General features: G+C 49.5%; 1 protein-coding gene across 1 annotated transcript, besides 4 other annotated features; it reads left to right on the forward strand.

Moving 5' to 3' along the window:
* Nucleotides 2,569-3,768: an enhancer, noted in NCBI's record as "MED14-independent group 3 enhancer chr6:31789548-31790747 (GRCh37/hg19 assembly coordinates)". NCBI's record gives its function as "activates an origin of replication core promoter dependent on BRD2, BRD4, P300/CBP and CDK7 cofactors, and independent of MED14, by STARR-seq in HCT116 cells {active_cell/tissue: HCT116}" and the evidence as "EXISTENCE:reporter gene assay evidence [ECO:0000049][PMID:35650434]".
* Nucleotides 7,464-8,275: an enhancer, noted in NCBI's record as "H3K27ac hESC enhancer chr6:31794443-31795254 (GRCh37/hg19 assembly coordinates)". NCBI's record gives its function as "activates a minimal SCP1, AML or CMV promoter by ChIP-STARR-seq in naive H9 embryonic stem cells {active_cell/tissue: H9 hESC(naive)}" and the evidence as "EXISTENCE:reporter gene assay evidence [ECO:0000049][PMID:30033119]".
* Nucleotides 8,299-8,928: an enhancer, noted in NCBI's record as "H3K27ac-H3K4me1 hESC enhancer chr6:31795278-31795907 (GRCh37/hg19 assembly coordinates)". NCBI's record gives its function as "activates a minimal SCP1, AML or CMV promoter by ChIP-STARR-seq in naive H9 embryonic stem cells {active_cell/tissue: H9 hESC(naive)}" and the evidence as "EXISTENCE:reporter gene assay evidence [ECO:0000049][PMID:30033119]".
* HSPA1B (heat shock protein family A (Hsp70) member 1B) lies at nt 8,536-11,052 on the forward strand. Its single transcript, NM_005346.6, has one exon. The coding sequence runs from the start codon at nt 8,749-8,751 to the stop codon at nt 10,672-10,674; it is 1,926 nt and encodes a 641-aa protein (NP_005337.2). The 5' UTR covers nt 8,536-8,748; the 3' UTR covers nt 10,675-11,052.
* Nucleotides 8,929-9,557: an enhancer, noted in NCBI's record as "H3K27ac-H3K4me1 hESC enhancer chr6:31795908-31796536 (GRCh37/hg19 assembly coordinates)". NCBI's record gives its function as "activates a minimal SCP1, AML or CMV promoter by ChIP-STARR-seq in naive H9 embryonic stem cells {active_cell/tissue: H9 hESC(naive)}" and the evidence as "EXISTENCE:reporter gene assay evidence [ECO:0000049][PMID:30033119]".
* Nucleotides 11,053-13,868: the final 2,816 nt, after the last annotated feature.

The raw sequence follows: 13,868 nt of genomic DNA on the forward strand, positions 1-13,868 counted from the left end.
TAATCCCAGCTATTCGGGAGGCTGAGGCAGGCGAATCGTTTGAACTCAAAGGCAGAGGTTTCAGTGAGCCGAGATTGCGCCACTGCACTCCAGCCTAGGTGACAGAGCGAGACTCCATCTCAAAAAATAAAAATTGTGTCGGCCAGGCGCAGTGGCTCATGCCTGTAATCCCAGCACTTTGGGAGGCCGAGGTGGGTGGATCACCTGAGGTCAGGAGTTCAAGACCAGCCTGGCCAACAGGGTGAAACCCCATCTCTACTAAAAATACAAAAAATTAGCTGGGCGTGGTGGCGGGCACCTATAATCCCAGCAACTTGGGAGGCTGAGGCAGAAGAATCGGTTGAACCCAGGAGGTGGATGTTGCAGTGAGCCAAGATCGTGCCATTGCACTCCAGCCTGAACAATGAGTGAAATTCTGTCTCAGTGAATAAATAAATAAATAGTATCTAAGGGCGATGAAAATGTTTTGGAACCAGAGTTGACGGTTGCATAACATTGTAAAGGTCAAGGCTGCAGTGAGCCATGACTGTACCACTGCACTCCAGCCTGAGCAACAGAGTGAGACCCTGTCTCTAAAAAAAAAAAAAAGAAAAAAAAATCAATTGTATCAATATTACATTAAAGCACTTTATGAGCTTATGTGTACCTCAAAGCCCATCAAACCATTCACTAAATACTTGTTAATGAAGAAAATCCAGTGTTATGGGAAATGATACATAAAGGTAGACCTTGCTTTGGAAGTTTGAAAATAGAAAATAAATATGAAATGCTTAGGTTTCCAGGCCAGTCTACAGAGGAACATTTATCTCTTATGGTAGTTAAACTGTAGTACTGTGGACTCTGGCCACAATGTAAATCAATCTTCATGGGAATATGCCTTTGCTATAGGACCTCCTCTCCCCTTCAGAGCTGCAGTAGCATTTGTGACTCTGATCTGCAGACCCTGTAGTGACTCTAAACCAGGAGCAACTACCACTACTGTGGCATGGAGTGGGGAAAAAGGTAATTGGAAAAGGGTGGAGATGGGGAAGGACCTACCAAATGCCTTTGTTGACACAGTAGAGAAGTCATCAGACATAACATTGAATGGAGGCAATAAGAGAGTTCCTATGGCCCTATCAAGCTTATTAGTAGGTGTTTTAACAAGAAATATGTAAAAATTATTACTTGTCGGCCGGGCGTGGTGGCTCATGCCTGTAATCCCAGCACTCTGGGAGGCCGAGGCGGGTGGCTCACTAGGTCAGGAGTTCAAGACAAGCCTGGCCAAGATGGTGAAACCCCACCTCTACTAAAAATACAAAAATTAGCTAGGCGTGGTGGTGGGCGCCTGTAATCCCAGCTACTCAGGAGGCTGAGGCAGGAGACTCACTTGAACCCGGGAGGTGGAGGTTGCAGTGAGCCGAGATCGTGCCACTGCACTGCAGCCTGGGCGACAGAGCAAGACTCCGTCTCCAAAAAAAAAAAAAAAAAAAAAATTGTTTGCCTGCATACCCTAGCACAGAGTACTGTACCTTGAAATATTCACTTTGTAACCTCAAGAAAAGACGTTGAGGGAGCTGTGGAATTAGCAAAGAGAATGCAGTGCCACCCATAAACGGAGTGATGTTTTGAGGAGCAGAGGAACTTTGAGGGAGGAAAGTGCAACAGGAAAAATAACTGCAGGTGTGGAAAAACAAATATAAATATCTTCTCAATTCCAATCACCTCCTACCTTCCTATACCAGGCCTCAGAAGGCAGCAGGCTATGATAATAAATTTGATTTTATATGGCTTTGAACCCAGGATTTTATTTTATAACATATACACTTACTGTTATTCCTGGTCTTCAAGAGTTCTTGTCATCCTCAAAAAGACAAAAAAGGTACCAAAACAAAAAATTAACTACAGTATTTTATAGATGTGAGAGAAGTGGGCAGAAATAATACGGCTTTAGGCTAAAAAAGGAAATGAGGTTATTTCTTGGGGGAGCCAATATTGGCGATTTCTGAGGGAGCGATCCTTACGTGAATATAAAAAATTGTGACAGCCACCATTCCTCCTGCTAACTGATCTAAATCCATCCCCTTGGGAAACGCCCCTGAGGTATCTATCAGGTGTAGTTCAGCCAGAGGGAGTAAACCCACCGGGCCCTCGTCCTTTCCTAGCACCACCATTTAAAGGGATGTTTGAGGGGTAGGGCAGCGGAGCATTCCAGACACGGAGTTAAACCCGCCCCACCCCGCTGGCCCACGTCCAGCCCGATCAAGAATTGGAGGAGAGAGGAGCAGGGCGTGGTGGCGCGGGCCTGGAGTCCCAGCTACCCGGGAGGCTGGGGCGGGAGGATCGCTTGAGGCTGCAGTGAGCCGTGATTGCGCCACTGCACTCCAGTCTGGGCGACAAAGCGAGACCCTGCCTCAAAAAAAAGTGAAAAAAAAAAAAATTAGAAGGGAGGGCACCAGAGGAGGGCTGGAGCAGGTTCACAGGCTGGGACTACGGAGGAGCCCAGCAACCGAGAATCACTCCTGAGGGTCTAATTTTCTTACTCTCCTGATGCCTCACGGGGCGAGGGACTAGAACGGGGCGCTGAGCTGGCTGTAGGCAAAAGCCAACCGACTCCATCCCCTACTCTCCCATCAGTCGCGCGTCCCCGCGCAGACGGGTGCGCGCTGGCCGTGGGCGGTGGGGACCTTCTCTTCTCGCCTCTGGCCACCCAATGCATCTGATTTAGTTGTATGAAAGTTACAAAATTCTCCAATATTTTCGTCTTGTAAATCACCTAGTATGAGAGAAACTCGAAAGGTCCTTTCTTTCCTCCTTTAATCCCTTTTTGGAAAAAAAAAAACATCAGAAAACGCAGGAGTCGGATAGGCAGCCCCGAAGCCAGCCCCGCCCTCAGGCCCCAGCGGCCCCGCCTTTTCTCCCCCCGCCCCCCCCCCGCACTCCCCACCTTTCCTCCCCTTTGGCTGAGGCTTTTTCCCCCGTCGCTGGCTCTGCCCGAAGTTTCTAGAGTTTTCTGACCTTCAAGGCGAGAACTGCTGTGTCATTCTTAGGGACACTCCCCAACAAACTGCGCCACCCGAGTCTCTCCCTCCTCTCGCCAGCCGGCCCTAAAACATCAAGGTTAGTCAGGACTCTATATTTAACGTCCGGAAGATTCTGTGAACTATATGCCAACCTTGCCCTAGTAACGGGGCTCCCCCCTCCTTTCCCCTCTTTCTGCTTGAGCAATCTGTTCTATCGGAAAGGAGAGGCAGGGCTGGGAGAGCTGGAAGGTGGGGAAGGCAAGAGCTTGTAGGGGCCATGGTCTTGAGTCCGAAGAGCAGAGCAGCAGCCAGGACGGGAGTCCCTGGCTGATCACATACCCGTGGTGCCCTTAATGCTCGCAGAGGCCAACACTGTATTCATTTGTTTTCCTCTTTAGAGAATAAAACAATTAGGTCTAACCACAAAATTAAAAGCAAACAAAACCCAGTTAGGTTGATGAGCCAATGTGGGAAGGAGTACAAAATGAGTGTCAGAACCCGTGGGTCCAATCACCGGTTCTGTAACCTGTCATCTGGGTAACCAGATCAAGCCACTGAACTTCTTTGATCCTTGGTGCTGTCTTTGAAAATGAAAAGGTTTGACTGAATGGCCTGTGCCCGCAGATCTTAGGACAGTTTTTACATTAAGCTGAAAGCAGCTGTAGTCCTAATAATGGTCCCCAACTTTTAAACACCTAAATAAGAATGACTACGAGTCATATCCGAGAGTATGGGATCCCCAATAAAAGGAGGGAGAAGATCATATTCTCTTTGATCATGTAGGGAAAAAAAATTTTTTTATTCGAGACAGGATCTCTGTCTCCCAGGCTGGAATGCAGTGGCGTGATCATAGCTCACTGCAGCCTTGACCTCTTGTGCTCAAGCGATCCTCCTGCCTCAGCCTCCCAAGTAGCTGGGACTACAGGCACCTGCCACCACGCCCAGCTAACTTGTAAAGTTTTTAGTAGAGATGGTGTCCCACTATGTTGCCCAGGCTGATCTTGGACTTCTGAGTTCAAGTGCCTGCCTTGGCTTCCTAAAGCACTGGGATTACCGACCTGAGTCACCACACGCAGTTCAGTTATTGTTAATTATGTTTTAGAGATGAACACGTCGAAACTTGTGTTATTTAGTCAATGTACAAGTACTTCCTTGTTGAAAAGAAAAACAGCCTCACCAAAGAAGTAGAGCGCAGATGCAAATCCAGGATTTTCCCTTCCCAGATTTTTTCTTTCCATGCTGCTAGAAATGGCCAGGGTTCTCTTTGTCATTGAAGCATTTGTCATTCATTCAGTTAAGAATGCCTGCCTCTAGATTTCATATCAATTAACTCTTTTGCTTTCATTTAAGTTCATTTGGATAAACTTAAAATTATAACAGCTTTTTTTTTTAATTTATTATTTTTTTGAGACAGAGTCTTGCTCTGTCACCCAGACTGGAGTGTAGTGGTGCGATCTCAGCTCACTGCAACCTCCACCTCCCAGGTTCAAGTGATTCTCCTGCCTCAGCTCCTGAGTAGCTGGGATTACAGATGTGCACCACCACGTCCGGCTAATTTTTGTGTTTTTAGGAGAGAAGGGGTTTTGCCATGTTTGCCGGGCTGGTCTTGAACTCCTGATCTCAGGTGATCCACCCATCTCGGCCTCCCAAAGTGCTGGGATTACATGCATGAGCCATCGCGCCCGGCCTATACCATCTTTTAAAATGAACAAAATTAAGAAAACTACTGTTTGAGGAACTATAAAAAGGAGAGGGAGAAGGAAGGAAAAGACCCTGCAGCGTCAGCCTGAAGAAGGCTGTCTTACCCCACACTGCTGTAGCAATTATGTTCTTGGCACTCCCTCTTCAGTTCTCTTGTCCCTTTGAAAGCATCTAACCTGGCTTTCACTTTGGGGACTCTGAGCTCTGATCCTTCCAAACACAGAATCCAATAAAAACCTAATTCTGAAATTAATCACATTAAAGTTCTGAAAAATCTCCTGGGGTTCTTATATATTCACCTTAGACAGCAATTAAACTTGTGACTGGATTTCTGCCTTGGGAAGCATCCAGTCTGAAAGGAAAGAAAAGGCCGGCGTGGTGCTTCATGCCTGTAATTCCAGCACTTTGGGCGGCCCAGACGGGCGGATCACTTGAGGTCAGGAGTTCGAGACCAGACTGGCCAACATGACGAAACCCCCTCTCTACTAAAAATACAAAAATTAGCCAGGCGTGGTGGTGTGCACCTGTAATCCCAGCCACTCAGGAGGCTGAGGCAGGAGAATCGCTTGAACCTGGGAGGTGGAGGTTGCAGTGAGCCAAGACTGTGCCATTGCACTCCAGCCTGGGCGACAGAGCAAGACTCTGTCTCAAAAAAAAAAAAAAGAAAAAAAAAAGAAAATTCAGGTGACCCTCTCCTTGTCAGGAAATGGACAAGGAATATGTATGTGTGGGTTTCCAGTCTAGTCCACAGAGGCTTCACTTAAAAGCTAGGTCAACTATAGCACTGTAGACTCTGACTAGTGTGACTGATTGAAGAAAAACAGCATTTATATTGGATTTTTCTGCTATCCAGAGAGCACCCAAGATTTGGGGTCCCAACACCACATCTACTTGCTAGGCAGTTGAGACAGTGATGCCCTTTGCTTCATGCCAATAGAGAGGTTTTTTCTCCCCCTCTCCCACCCCCCACTCCCCACTTTTTATGTTTCTCAGCAGAATCAGAGAAGTATTTTATTTTTGAGAAGGAGTTTCGCTCTTGTTGCCCAGGCTGGAGTGCAGTGGCGCGATCTCGGCTCACCGCAACCTCCGCCTCCTGGGTTCAAATGATTCTCCTGCCTCAGACTCCCAAGTAGCTGGGATTACAGGCATGCGCCACCATGCCCAGGTAATTTTTTTTTTTTTTTTTTTTGGTATTTTTAGTAGAGACCGGCTTTCTCCATGTTGGTCAGGCTGGTCTCGAATTTCTGACCTCAGGTGATCTGCTGCTTCGGCCTCCCAAAGTGCTGGGATTACAGGTGTGAGCCACTGTGCTGGCCTTTTAAATTGTGGATTTGGAAGGAGGGAAGGAATGAATCCAGACCTGCCAGTAGTAGCAGTTGATGGTGAGGAAGTTTCCAGAGGGAGGGGTGAGGTTAAGGGTCTCTGGAAGTGTTGATACACTGTGCAGCTAAGATGAACATAGTTTGGGAGAATCTCCAGCCAGACATTTCATAGAGAAATGTTTGGGAAAATTCCTGAAGTTTGACCGGTTTGACTAGTTTAGAGAGGTGATTCATTAGGGAGCTAAAGCTGAATGTGAAAGTTATCACCTACCTGCACATACAGACACACACATATTGTTAAAGCAATTTATTTGCAACATGAGTTTAGATCAGTGAATTATAAACAAATGAATACCCTTAAATTCCAGGAAGAGGTGTTTTGATAGTGGACAGGTGTGTGTGTGCAGGTGTGCATATGAAAAGTGCCAATTGAGCAAAGTGTTTAAAAACAGGATTATTCCTTCATCAGTAACTTCTTCCTTTCATTTGTGCTCAAGGAATATCGCCATGGCAATGAGGCTATTTTTTTTTTCTTTTCTTTTTTTTTTTTGTGGTAGGTTGTAAACACAGTACTATTGCTTCAACCCCCTCACATTTTCCTTTCAGACGCCTAACAAAGGGTCTTGCATTCACACTAAGAATGAAGGAAAAAAACAAAGGGAAAGTAAATTACTAAATGCAACCGTATTTAAAACAGGAGGAAGGAGAATCCGCAGGAAGTTGGAATCTAGGATAAAAACTTAGACACATTCAGCCTGGCCAACATGGCGAAACCCTGTCTCTATTAAAAATACAAAAATTAGCCCGGCGTGGTGGCACATCCTGTAATTCCAGCTATTGGGGAGGCTGAGGCAGCAGAATTGTTTGAACCCCAGGGGCAGAGGTTGCAATGAGCAGAGATCTCACCACTGCACTCCAGCCTGGGCGACAGAGTGAGACTCAGTCTCAAAACAAACAAACAAAAACAACAGGCCGGGAATGGTGGCTCACGCCTGTAATCCCAGCACTTTGGGAGCCCGAGGTGGGCGGATCACGAGGTCAGGAGTTCGAGACCAGCCTGACCAACATGGGCGGATCACGAGGTCAGGAGTTCGAGACCAGCCTGACCAACATGGGGAAACCCTGTCTCTACTAAAAATACAAAAATTAGCCAGGCGTGGTGGCGCACGCCTGTAATCCTAGCTACTCAGGAGGCTGAGGTAGGAGAATTGCTTAAACCCGGGAGGCGGAGGTTGCAGTGAGCCGAGATCACGCCACTGCACTCCAGCTTGGGCGACAGAGCGAGACTGTCTCAAAACGAAAACAACAAACTTAAGACACATAACCTGAGGTGTTAAGAGGAGCTAGTAACTAGAACCTGGGTCCCAACCCCTCCTGCTTTCCAGCATCACTCCACACAGTTTGCTTAAAGAGGGCCACCTGCCAAACAGCTGTAGTATGTGATGTTAAAGAGAGCTAAACACCCCCCGCACCTCCCTCCCAGGGTCACCATCTTGTTAAATTTGACCTAAAAACGGTAACAGCCTAGGGGTTTCAGGGACAGACAGAAAATCTTACTCGGGACTGTGAGGTCCTACTTCTACACACCGTCCAGGAGTGAACCAGGAATTGAGAAAGTAGGAAGGAGGTGTCCCAGACCCCAAGCTAGGAATGGGGAGGGAAATGGAGGAATCCCAAATGCCTTAAGGACGGCCTACATACTAAGGAAAATTTTTTTCTAACTCCTGGTTGCAGCTGAGGGGAGCGGCTGAGGGCGGGGACAGGGGTGCGGCGGACCCACTGCTCCCATTACCCGACCAGCGCCTCCCTTCCTCCTTGGATGGGTGCCCCTGTCTTGCTAAGAACTGCCTGTTTACACAACTGCTTTCCTTGTGAAAATTTAAAGGCTCCTATTCCCAGTTGTTCTATCCTTGTAGGTTAAAGATTATGTCAAAAACTATATTGCATTATCTCTTTCCTTCTCCTTCCCATTAAGACGGAAAAAACATCCGGGAGAGCCGGTCCGTTTCTCAGGCAGACTAGGCCATTAGGTGCCTCGGAGAAAGGACCCAAGGCTGCTCCGTCCTTCACAGACACAGTCCAATCAGAGTTTCCCAGGCACATCGATGCACCGCCTCCTTCGAGAAACAAGGTAACTTTCGGGTTCTGGTTGTCTCCAAAGTCATCCGACCAATCTCGCACCGCCCAGAGCGGGCCCTTCCTGTCAATTACCTACTGAAGGGCAGGCGGCCAGCATCGCCATGGAGACCAACACCCTTCCCACCACCACTCCCCCTTTCTCTCAGGGCCCCTGTCCCCTCCAGTGAATCCCAGAAGACTCTGGAGAGTTCTGAGCAGAGGGCGGCACCCTGCCCTCTGATTGGTCCAAGGAAGGCTGGGGGGCAGGACGGGAGGCGAAACCCCTGGAATATTCCCGACCTGGCAGCCTCATCGAGCTTGGTGATTGGCTCAGAAGGGGAAAGGCGGGTCTCCACGACGACTTATAAAAGCCGAGGGGCGCGCGGTCCGGAAAACGGCCAGCCTGAGGAGCTGCTGCGAGGGTCCGCTTCGTCTTTCGAGAGTGACTCCCGCGGTCCCAAGGCTTTCCAGAGCGAACCTGTGCGGCTGCAGGCACCGGCGTGTTGAGTTTCCGGCGTTCCGAAGGACTGAGCTCTTGTCGCGGATCCCGTCCGCCGTTTCCAGCCCCCAGTCTCAGAGCGGAGCCCACAGAGCAGGGCACCGGCATGGCCAAAGCCGCGGCGATCGGCATCGACCTGGGCACCACCTACTCCTGCGTGGGGGTGTTCCAACACGGCAAGGTGGAGATCATCGCCAACGACCAGGGCAACCGCACCACCCCCAGCTACGTGGCCTTCACGGACACCGAGCGGCTCATCGGGGATGCGGCCAAGAACCAGGTGGCGCTGAACCCGCAGAACACCGTGTTTGACGCGAAGCGGCTGATTGGCCGCAAGTTCGGCGACCCGGTGGTGCAGTCGGACATGAAGCACTGGCCTTTCCAGGTGATCAACGACGGAGACAAGCCCAAGGTGCAGGTGAGCTACAAGGGGGAGACCAAGGCATTCTACCCCGAGGAGATCTCGTCCATGGTGCTGACCAAGATGAAGGAGATCGCCGAGGCGTACCTGGGCTACCCGGTGACCAACGCGGTGATCACCGTGCCGGCCTACTTCAACGACTCGCAGCGCCAGGCCACCAAGGATGCGGGTGTGATCGCGGGGCTCAACGTGCTGCGGATCATCAACGAGCCCACGGCCGCCGCCATCGCCTACGGCCTGGACAGAACGGGCAAGGGGGAGCGCAACGTGCTCATCTTTGACCTGGGCGGGGGCACCTTCGACGTGTCCATCCTGACGATCGACGACGGCATCTTCGAGGTGAAGGCCACGGCCGGGGACACCCACCTGGGTGGGGAGGACTTTGACAACAGGCTGGTGAACCACTTCGTGGAGGAGTTCAAGAGAAAACACAAGAAGGACATCAGCCAGAACAAGCGAGCCGTGAGGCGGCTGCGCACCGCCTGCGAGAGGGCCAAGAGGACCCTGTCGTCCAGCACCCAGGCCAGCCTGGAGATCGACTCCCTGTTTGAGGGCATCGACTTCTACACGTCCATCACCAGGGCGAGGTTCGAGGAGCTGTGCTCCGACCTGTTCCGAAGCACCCTGGAGCCCGTGGAGAAGGCTCTGCGCGACGCCAAGCTGGACAAGGCCCAGATTCACGACCTGGTCCTGGTCGGGGGCTCCACCCGCATCCCCAAGGTGCAGAAGCTGCTGCAGGACTTCTTCAACGGGCGCGACCTGAACAAGAGCATCAACCCCGACGAGGCTGTGGCCTACGGGGCGGCGGTGCAGGCGGCCATCCTGATGGGGGACAAGTCCGAGAACGTGCAGGACCTGCTGCTGCTGGACGTGGCTCCCCTGTCGCTGGGGCTGGAGACGGCCGGAGGCGTGATGACTGCCCTGATCAAGCGCAACTCCACCATCCCCACCAAGCAGACGCAGATCTTCACCACCTACTCCGACAACCAACCCGGGGTGCTGATCCAGGTGTACGAGGGCGAGAGGGCCATGACGAAAGACAACAATCTGTTGGGGCGCTTCGAGCTGAGCGGCATCCCTCCGGCCCCCAGGGGCGTGCCCCAGATCGAGGTGACCTTCGACATCGATGCCAACGGCATCCTGAACGTCACGGCCACGGACAAGAGCACCGGCAAGGCCAACAAGATCACCATCACCAACGACAAGGGCCGCCTGAGCAAGGAGGAGATCGAGCGCATGGTGCAGGAGGCGGAGAAGTACAAAGCGGAGGACGAGGTGCAGCGCGAGAGGGTGTCAGCCAAGAACGCCCTGGAGTCCTACGCCTTCAACATGAAGAGCGCCGTGGAGGATGAGGGGCTCAAGGGCAAGATCAGCGAGGCGGACAAGAAGAAGGTTCTGGACAAGTGTCAAGAGGTCATCTCGTGGCTGGACGCCAACACCTTGGCCGAGAAGGACGAGTTTGAGCACAAGAGGAAGGAGCTGGAGCAGGTGTGTAACCCCATCATCAGCGGACTGTACCAGGGTGCCGGTGGTCCCGGGCCTGGCGGCTTCGGGGCTCAGGGTCCCAAGGGAGGGTCTGGGTCAGGCCCTACCATTGAGGAGGTGGATTAGGGGCCTTTGTTCTTTAGTATGTTTGTCTTTGAGGTGGACTGTTGGGACTCAAGGACTTTGCTGCTGTTTTCCTATGTCATTTCTGCTTCAGCTCTTTGCTGCTTCACTTCTTTGTAAAGTTGTAACCTGATGGTAATTAGCTGGCTTCATTATTTTTGTAGTACAACCGATATGTTCATTAGAATTCTTTGCATTTAATGTTGATACTGTAAGGGTGTTTCGTTCCCTTTAAATGAATCAACACTGCCACCTTCTGTACGAGTTTGTTTGTTTTTTTTTTTTTTTTTTTTTTTTGCTTGGCGAAAACACTACAAAGGCTGGGAATGTATGTTTTTATAATTTGTTTATTTAAATATGAAAAATAAAATGTTAAACTTTTTCTTGTCTGTTAATATGTGAAGATAATGGATATTTGCGGAGGGATAGTGTCTGAATACCATCTATCTTTATAGTCTGAAAAGAACAGTACTGCTGAAGAGTTATACGTGTAGGAGTTAGAGCTACACATATTTTTGTTTGGGCTTAATTGTGGGCCTTAAGAGAAATTGCAGGTGCCCGTCTTGATTAGAGTGGGGCTTGTTTCAGGGAAAAGTCGGATGGCAGCTGCAAAACGGTATTGGAGGGGTGGTTGAGGTGGGTTCACTGGGGCGGGGAGGGGAGGGGTGGTGCTGAGATGGGATTATGGTGGTTTTCTCTCCCTCTTCTACTTAGTGAGCGGAGTCCACAAAAAAATGCTGACTTTTTTTTTTTTTTTTTTTGAGACGGAGTCTCACTCTCACTCTTGTCGCCCAGGCTGGAGTGCAGTGGCGCAATCTCAGCTCACGGTAACTTCCGCCTCCCGGGTTCAAGCGATTCTCCTGCCTCAGCCTCCTGAGTAACTGGGACTACAGGCGCCTGCCACCACGCCTGGCTAATTTTTTGTATTTTTGGTAGAGACAGGGTTTTACCGTGTTAGCCAGGATGGTCTCAATCTCCTGACCTCGGCTCATATTCATTTATATGTGGAATCTAAACAGTAGAACTCAGAAGCAGAGAAGTGGTGGTCACCAAGGGCTGTGGGATGGGGGAATGGGGAGACGTGCAAGGGAAACAAAGCCTTAGTCAGGAGAAATAAATTGTATTTTTTTTTTTTTGAAACGGGATATTGCTCTGTCACCCAGGCTGGAGCACAGTAGAGCTCACTGTAGTCTCAAACTCCTGGGTTCAAGCAATCCTCCCACCTTAGCCTCCTGAGTACTGGGTCTACAGGTATGTGCCATCATGCTCAGCTAATTTTTTGTATTTTGTAGAGACGAAGTCTTGCTGTGTTGCCCAGGTTGGTCTCGAACTCTTCAGCTCAAGCGATCCCCTTGTCTAGTCCTCCCAAAGTGCTGGGATTATAGGCGTGAGCCACTGTGCCCTGCCAGTTTTTGTGTTTTTTTTTGGGGGGGTGGTGGGTGGAGGGTATATATTGCATGGCATGGTGAAAATAGTTAATAGTGTATTGTATATTTCAAAATTTCAAATGTTCTTGTCACAAAAATATTTGAGGTGATATGTTAATTAGCTTGATTTAATTACTCCATATTGTGTTAATAACTACTTTGTACCAATATATGCAACTAAAGTTTGTCAATTTACAAAAAGAATTTAAAAATCAAATAAAATGGGCCAGGTGCGATGGCTCATGCCTATAATCCCAGAATTTAGGGAGGGTGAGGTGGGCGGATCACTTGAGGTCCGGAGTTCAAAACCAGCCTGGCCAACATAGCGAAAACCCATCTCTACAAAAAACAATAGAATTAGCTGGCCGGGCGTGGGGGCTCACGCCTGTAATCCCAGCACTTTGGGAGACCGAGGTGGGACGGTTGGATCACCTAAGGTCAGGAGTTCCAGACCAGCCTGGTCAACATGGTGAAACCCTGTCTCTACTAGGTGGGCACGGTGGGGCATGTCTATAATCCCAGCTACATGGAAGGCTGAGGAAGGAGAATCACTTGAACCCTGGAGGCGGAGGTTGTAGTGAGTTGAGATTGCGCCACTGTACTCCACCCTGGGTGACAGAGCAATACTTCATCTCAAAAAAACATAAATAAAACGGTTAAAGTCCTGTGTTGCACCTTTGTGTAAATCCTTACCCTCTAGGGTTTTAAAATGTTTTAAATCCTTAAAACGTTTTAAGGATTACATAATACTGGAAATCCTCCTTGAAAGTGTATAAAAGAAAAGGAATATAGTAAGTTTCTTTGGTTTTGGGGCCAAGTTTTTTTTTTTTTTTTTTTTTTTTGAGACAGAGTTTCACTTTTGTTGCCCAGGCTGGAGTACAGTGGAGCAATCTCGGCTCACTGCAACCTCTACCTCCCAGGTTCAAACGATTCTCCTGCCTCAGCCTCCCAAGTAGCTGGGATTACAGGCACCGGCCACTATGCTCAGCTAATTTTTTGTATTTTTAGTACAGACGAGGTTTCCGCCATGTTGGGCAGGCTGGTCTCGAACTCCTGACCTCAGGTGATCTGCCTGCCTTGGCCTCCCAAAGTGCTGGGATTATAGGCGTGAGCCACTATGCCCGGCCCTTGGGCCAATTCTTAAAGGCCTGTTTTATTAATGAAAGAGATGAACTAGGCCAGGCGCGGTGGCTCACACCTATAATCCCAGCACTTTGGGAGGCCGAGGCGGGCGGATCACCTGAGGTCTGGAGTTCGAGACCAGCCTGACCAACATGGAGAAACCCCATCTCTACTAAAAATACAAAATTAGCCGGGTGTGGTGGCGCATGCCTGTAATCCCAGCTACCCTGGAGGCTGAGGCAGGAGAATGGCTTGAACCTGGGAGGCGGAGGTTGCTGTGAGCCGAGATCGCGCCATTGCACTCCAGCCTGGGCAACAAGAGCGAAACTCTGTCTCAAAAAAAAAAAAAAAAAAAAAAAGAGGAACTAAAGCCTCTGACCATAGCACTTAGTAAAGGCAGCTTAACTGCCAAAACAGCAGGAATTAGGGCTTTCTGTATATATATATATTTTTTTTAAGGCAGGGTCTCACTCTGTTGCCCAGGCTAGAGTGCAGTGGTATGATCACGGTTCATGGCAGCCTCGACCTCCTGGGCTCAATTGATCCTTAGCCTCCTGATTAGCTGGGACTACACGTGTATGCCACCACCCATAGCTAATCTTTTTTTTATATACTTGCCAGGCAGTAGAGGGAACAAATACTTTAGCT

Source organism: Homo sapiens, chromosome 6 (genome assembly GCF_000001405.40).
Source record: "Homo sapiens chromosome 6, GRCh38.p14 Primary Assembly".
NCBI classification, from domain to species: domain Eukaryota; kingdom Metazoa; phylum Chordata; class Mammalia; order Primates; family Hominidae; genus Homo; species Homo sapiens.

What these genes read in the sequence shown, in the direction of transcription:
- HSPA1B (NM_005346.6), top strand. Translation starts at nt 8,749, where the DNA reads ATGGCCAAAGCCGCGGCGATCGGCATCGACCTGGGCACCACCTACTCC.